At 47.0% G+C, this 6,626-nt stretch overlaps 1 annotated feature.

Annotated features, from left to right (window-relative positions):
* Window positions 6,150–6,199: an enhancer, noted in NCBI's record as "active region_10377". NCBI's record gives its function as "activates an Ori minimal core promoter by ATAC-STARR-seq in GM12878 lymphoblastoid cells {active_cell/tissue: GM12878}" and the evidence as "EXISTENCE:reporter gene assay evidence [ECO:0000049][PMID:35858748]".

Raw genomic sequence — 6,626 nt, forward strand, 5'->3', positions numbered from 1 at the left:
ATCTCTGCGAGACCCCATCTCTACAAAACATTAAAATGAAATTAGCCGGGCATGGTGACAGCCGTGGTCCTAACTACTTGGGAGGCTGAGGCAGGAGGATCACTTGAGCCCAGGAGTTTGATACGAGCCTGGGAACATAGCGAGACCCCTGTGTCTATGAAAAAATGTAAATGAAATTAGCACGGCATGGTGGCCTCGCCTGTAGTCCTGGCTTCTCAGGAGGCTGAGGTGGAAGGATGGTTTGAGCCCAGGAATTCAAGGCTGCAGTGAGCTATGGTCCCACCACTGCACTTCAGCCTGGGTGACAGAGTGAGATCCTGTCTCTAAAAATGAATTTTTTTTTTTTTTAATCCTAGTTCTGCTGCCTTGTTAGCTGTGTGTCTTTGGGCAGATAGCTTACCCTCGCTGGGTCTCAGTTACCCCTTGGAAAACGAGGATCACCGTGGGATTTGCGTGAATGCCTGTGAAGTGTTTAGCACTGTGGTTTGCATGACTGCCTCACCCTACTCTATTTTCTGCACAGCAGCCAGAATGATCTTGAAACATAAATTAGATCTCGGCAGCTGCTCGCCTAAAACCTCTTCAAAGGTTTCTCGTTGCCCTTAGCATAAAATCCAGGCTCTGCACGATGTTTACAAGTCCCTGGCGATGCTCTGATCTCATGTTGGGTTACGCTTCCCTTGGTTCAGAAATCCCAGCCACCCTGGCTTTCTTTAATATTAAATTTCATTTTAAATAATTAAAATATAAAGAGTAAATTATTTAATGTACTAAATTAAATAATTTCATTTAAAATTTAATGTCTAATACCTAAATTAAATAATTTCCTTTAAAATGTAATGTCTAATACCTAAATAATTTCATTTAAAATTTAATATCGAATACATCAAGCTTGCTTCCACATCAGGACTAGTGCGGTGCCACCCCCTCCACTTGGAATGCAGAGCACTGCCTTCTGTCCATCAACCACGTGCCTCAGGTTTTCTCTCCTTCCCATCCTTCAGGTCTCAGCTTCAATGCCACCTCCTCAGGCCTTCCCTTACCACAAGGGAGGAGATACTGTCAATGTCCCACTCAGATCCTTGTCACCAGGCCAGTGGACCCACCCCCAACTGCTGTAGGTATCAGCTACTTAGGGCTCATACCTGAAACCTTCTCTAAAGGATTAACTACCTGGCTTCTCTGACTTTCCTTTCACTGAGAGCAGCCCCTCAAAAAATCACTGGCACAACAGTTGCCATCTCAGACTGCCTCTAGGGAACGGAACTTAAGATACATTTTTTTTCTTTATCTTGGTTTCTTTCAGAGCAATTATTATTATTATTATTATTATTATTGTTTTAAGACAGGGTCTTGCCAGGTGTGGTGGCTCACTCCTGTAATCCCAGCTCACTCCTGTAATCCCAGCACTTTGGGAGGTCAAAGTAGGAGGATCACTTGAAGTCAGGAGTTTGAGACCAGACTGGCCAACATGGTGAAACCCCATCTGTACTAAAAATACAAAAATTAGCCAGGCATGATGGCAGGTGCCTGTGATCCCAGCTACTCGGAAGGCTAGGGCAGGAGAATCTCTCAAACCCAGGAGGCAGAGGTTGCAGTGAGCCAAGATCGTGCCACTGCACTGCAGCCTAGGTGACAGACTGAGACTCTGTCTCAAAAAAGAAATAGGATCTCGCTATGTCACCCAGGCTCGAGTGCAGTGGCACAATCATGGCTCACTGCAGCCTCGAACCCCTGGGCTCAAGGGATTTTCCCACCTCAGGAGACTCATGACTACAGGTGCATGACACCACACCTGGCTAACATTTTATTTTATTTATTTATTTTTGACACAGAGTCTCGCTTACCCAGGCTGGAGTGCAGTGGCACAATCTCGGCTCACTGCAACCTCTGCCTCCTGGATTCAAGCAATCCTCCCACCTTAGCCTGCAGACACAGACCACCATGCCTGGCTTTTTTTTTTTTTTTTTTTTTGAGACGGAGTCTCGCTCTGTCACCCAGGCTAGAGTACAGCAATGCAATCTCAGCTCACTGCAACCTCCGCCTCCCGGGTTCAAGCAATTCTCCTGCCTCAGCCTCCCAAGTAGCTGGGACTACAGGCGCACGCCGCCAAGCCCGGCTAATTTTTTGTATTTTAGTAGAGGTGGGGTTTCACCATGTTGCCCAGGTTGGTCTTGAACTCCTGAGCTCAGGCAATCCGCCTGCCTCACCCTCCCAAAGTGCTAGGATTACAGGCATGAGCCACCACGCCCGGCCAATATTTTTTATTGTTAGCGAGGTCTATGTTGCCCAGGCTGGTCTCAAACTCCTGGCCTCAAGTAATCCTCCCACCTCCGCCTTCCAAAGTGCTGGGATTACAGGTGTGAGCCACTGCGCCCAGCCATTATTAATTTTGGAAAATATTTGGTACATTTCTTTCCTCTCTCTCCCTCACTACAGGGGAAGTTCCATGAGGGCAAGAATCACACCCGTTTAATCCATCACTTCACCCGCACACTTGGCGTGGGGGCCTGCACGTAGGAGATGCCGGAAGAGCTATTTCTTGAACTCAGGAAATGAGGCATCGTGTGTTTCCAGGGATTCCTCTCTAGTTTCCCCTCTTTTGACCTTCCTCTCAGTCCACTCTTAGATGATCCTCTTAGGATCTCAAACTCAGTGGGTCCCAGTGTTGATCCATCATCTACCCTCAGGAGAGGAGCTCTCCCCTGCCTTTTCTACCTCTGGCAGTAGCACCAGCCTTCTGGTGCCAAGGCTAGAACTCTGAGTGCCATGTCTGACTCATTCATCACAGCCATCCCCATAGCTAATCAGTGCCTGGACCTGTCTAAGACGTGTTGACATTGTCCCCTTCTCTCCTCTCCCCGAAGCTCCATGCTCACAGCCTTCAAGCCAGCCCAAGCCCCGGTTTCCTCATTCCCAAGTTGCTACAAGAACTCTTAGTAGGAACTCCCCACATCTAGCCCTCACCTCTCCTGCACCCATCTTGCACCAACCTGCTGGACTAACACTGCCAACACTCACCAGGAATCACCTCCCTCCCTCTGGTAAAAACCCTAAGAAGCCCACAGAGCCATGTCCCGTTGTCTTGCCTAACCTGGCATTCAAAGCCTCCAGTGATAAATCCTCGAGCCACCTCTTCCAACCTTGTCATTAATACTACAAAAGGTCAGGGAACACTTCTTTTAGGAGGTGACATTTCAGCCAGATCTGAACAAGGAAGAGCAACAATACAGAGCTGTTTTCAGATGTTAGGGTACTTCAGAACCCCCTGGGAATGTAAAAATATACGCAAATGCCTGTAGTGATGGAGATCGTTTGCTTGCTTGTTTCTTTCTTTGTTTTTAGCAATCCCTCCAGGACATTTTGTAGTCAGGCTTAGAAGCCACAGGTGGAGGGACAGACACACAGATGGACGAACAAAGAGACATAAATTAGTAAGTTATAACCTAACCATAAATCCCAGGCCTGAAAGCACAAAAGACCCTGCCATTCACTTTTTCTGGGAGAATCAGAAAGATGTCCAGGAGGAGAGGGTCTTTAAGCATCGTCTGAAGGGGTGAGCAGGGTTTGCAAAGCAGAAGAAAAATGGTCCTCATTAACATAGTGGAGAGTTTAAAAAAAAAAAGTGTACCCAGTGCAAAAGCTGGGAAAAAAAAAAAAGAATGGAGAAACTCACAGGCAGAGAGGGCAGCTCCTGTGAGAGGTCCCGGGCTGCGGCCAGTAGGTGACCACCAACGGGAGGCAGTGACTATATCAGGATGCCGAGGGGCCCCAGGGAGATGCGGCTGAGGTTGGAGTTGGGGCAGGTGAAGGGGAAGGACTTTGTGGGGTATCTGAGGAAGATGGAGTTTCTCCTGAGGCCACCAGGAGGCGCCAGACGTCAAGCGGGGCGGGGGGCGGGGACGGGCTCGGTAACTTTCCTCTGCTGAAAACAGCCCTGAGCAGGGTTAGCAAGGATTAGCCGTGGCAATAAAGGGCTTATAAGGAAATTAAAAGGTCTAATGAGGGCCATAAGGATGATTTATACCCTTTCTGTAGCATGCCTCTTCCTTGTACTAGAATTCATGTATGCCTTTGTCCTGTCTCCCTAATGAATTGTGGGGTACTCATAGAACTAAAACCCGTGTAATGATTAGCTGAAGCAGGGTTTCTCAACCTTGGAACTGTTGACATTTGGGGCTGGTAATTCTGTGTTGTGGGAGGTTGTTCTGTGCATGTTAGGGTGTTTAGCAGCGTCCTTGGTTTCTACTCACAAGATGCCAATGCACCTCCATCTCAACTAGTGACAAGCAAAAATGTCTCCTGACATTGCCAGCTGACCCGTGGGAGCAAAATCACCCTCAGTGGCAAACCATTGGGTTAAAGGGGTTCTGCAGGCTCTAGCAGGATCCAAATCTGGGCTCTGCCACTTCCCAAGTAGGTGATCTTGGGCAGACTACGTCACTCCTCTATGCCTCCATTTTCTCATGTATCAAGAAGGGATTTTTAAAAAGTATTGACATCAGCATCAGTGTAAGAATGAAACACAGTGATCCAGCCAGGCACAGTGATGCACGCCTGTAATCCCAGCCCTTTGGGAGGCTGAGGCAGGAGGACTGTGTGAGCCCAGGAGTTTTAGACCAGCCTGAGCTACATAGCAAGACCCTATCTCTACAGAAAACAACAACAAAAAAAATTAGCCAAGTGTGGTGGTGCACCTGTAATCCCAGCTACACAGGAGACTGAGGCGGGAGGATCGCCTGAGCCAGGAGCTCAAGGTTACAGTGAGCTATGATCATTCACTGCACTCTAGCCCGGGCAACAGAGGAAGCCCTTGTCTCTAAAAATAGAAATAATAAATTAATAAATAATAAAAATAAATACAAGGCTGGGCCCGGTGGCTCATGCCTGTAATCCCAGCACTTTGAGAGGCTGAGGCGGGAGGATCACCTGAGGTCAGGAGTTTGAGACCAGCCTGGCCAACGTGTTGAAACCCTGTCTCTACTAAAAATTTAAAAATTAGCTGGGCATGGTGGCGGGTCCCTGTAATCCTAGCTACTCAGGAGGCTGAGGCACAAGAATTGCTTGAACCCAGGAGATGGATGTTGCAGTGAGCCGAAATCGTGCTACTACAGTCCAGCCTGGGTGACAGAGCAAGATTCCATCTCAAAATATAAAAATAAATAATAAATACAATGACAAATGCGAAGGCCACAAGGTAAACACTCAATGAACACCAGGCCTCTGAGGACACAAGGGATAGTAATGGTTATGGTAACCTCAGTGTTAGCAACTACAGCCTAACTCAAGAATTCCCCGAAGATGTGTTCCAAGGAATAATGAACTCAAAAAGTAGTTTTATTTAAAAAGGTTTTCAGGCCAGAAAATGCAGGACACCCAATTCCTTTTTGAGCAAATTAGGTATACTCAGTTAATTAAGACTCCAAGAAGGCCTGCAGTCATCATTACTCGATTTGAAGCTCTGGGAAATGAGGAGTGAAGTCTAACTCACTACAGTATCCCCCTTCCTAGCATAATGCTGAGGAACACTCAATAAGAACGTGATAAATTGTGGGCAGAGGATTACCCAGGTGCCGAGGCAAGAGACTGAAGGCACAAACTGTTTCAGTATAATGAAGAAAATAGTTACAATTAGAATAGTTATAATAGAAATTAGATATAGAGATGATCATGGACATTATCAATCATTAGTATAACCATTATTAATCATTAGCCTTTAATATTACTGTTTGTTTAATTACTGATATAACAAAGGAATAACCAGCGGGGATAGGGTCAGGTGCTGAAGAGACATTGTGAGAAGTGACCAAGAAGGCAAGAGGTGAGCCCTCTGTCACGCCTGCATAAGGGCCGCTTGAGGGCTCCTTGGTCAAGCGGTAATGCCAGTGCCTGGGAAAGCACCCGTGACTTAGCAGACCATGAAAGGGAGTCTCGCTTTACTTGGAGGACTCAGGGAACACTCTGCTCCACCACCTTCTTGTGGGAGGTTGGATATTATCCAGGCCTGCCCACAGTCATCTGGAGGCCTAAACCCCTCCCTGTGGTGCTGTGCTTCAGTGGTCATGCTCCCTGTCCACTTTCATGTTCCTCCTGTACTCCTGGTTCCTCTTTGAAGTTCTTAGAAGATAGCAGTAGAAGAAACAGTGAAAGTCTTAAAGTCTTTGATCTTTCTGATAAGTGCATAGAAGAAAATGCAGATGTATGCTGCCTTCTCTCTCTGCTTCAGCTACCTAAAAGGGAAGGGCCCCCTGTCCCATGATCATGTGACTTGCTTGACCTTATCAATCACTCGGACAACTCACCCTCCTTACCCTGCCCCTTGTCTTATATAGAATAAATATCAGCCCGCCCAGCCATTTGGAGCCACTACTGGTCTCTGCGTCTTGGTGGTAGTGGTCCCCCAGGCCCAGCTGTTTTTCTCTTTACTTCTTTGTCTGGTGTCTTTATTTCTTATCATCTCTCGTCTCCACACACGGGGAGAACACCCAATAAGCCCCGTAGGACTGGACCCTACAATAAATGAATAAATTAACTGAATATTTACATGAGTAAACTTGTTAATTACAGAAGTCAGCTTAGCTGAGTTTCACCCAGTGTTTTCCAAGCTCTATGGACCACTGCACTAC

This window comes from Homo sapiens, chromosome 16, assembly GCF_000001405.40.
Source record: "Homo sapiens chromosome 16, GRCh38.p14 Primary Assembly".
NCBI classification, from domain to species: Eukaryota; Metazoa; Chordata; class Mammalia; order Primates; family Hominidae; genus Homo; species Homo sapiens.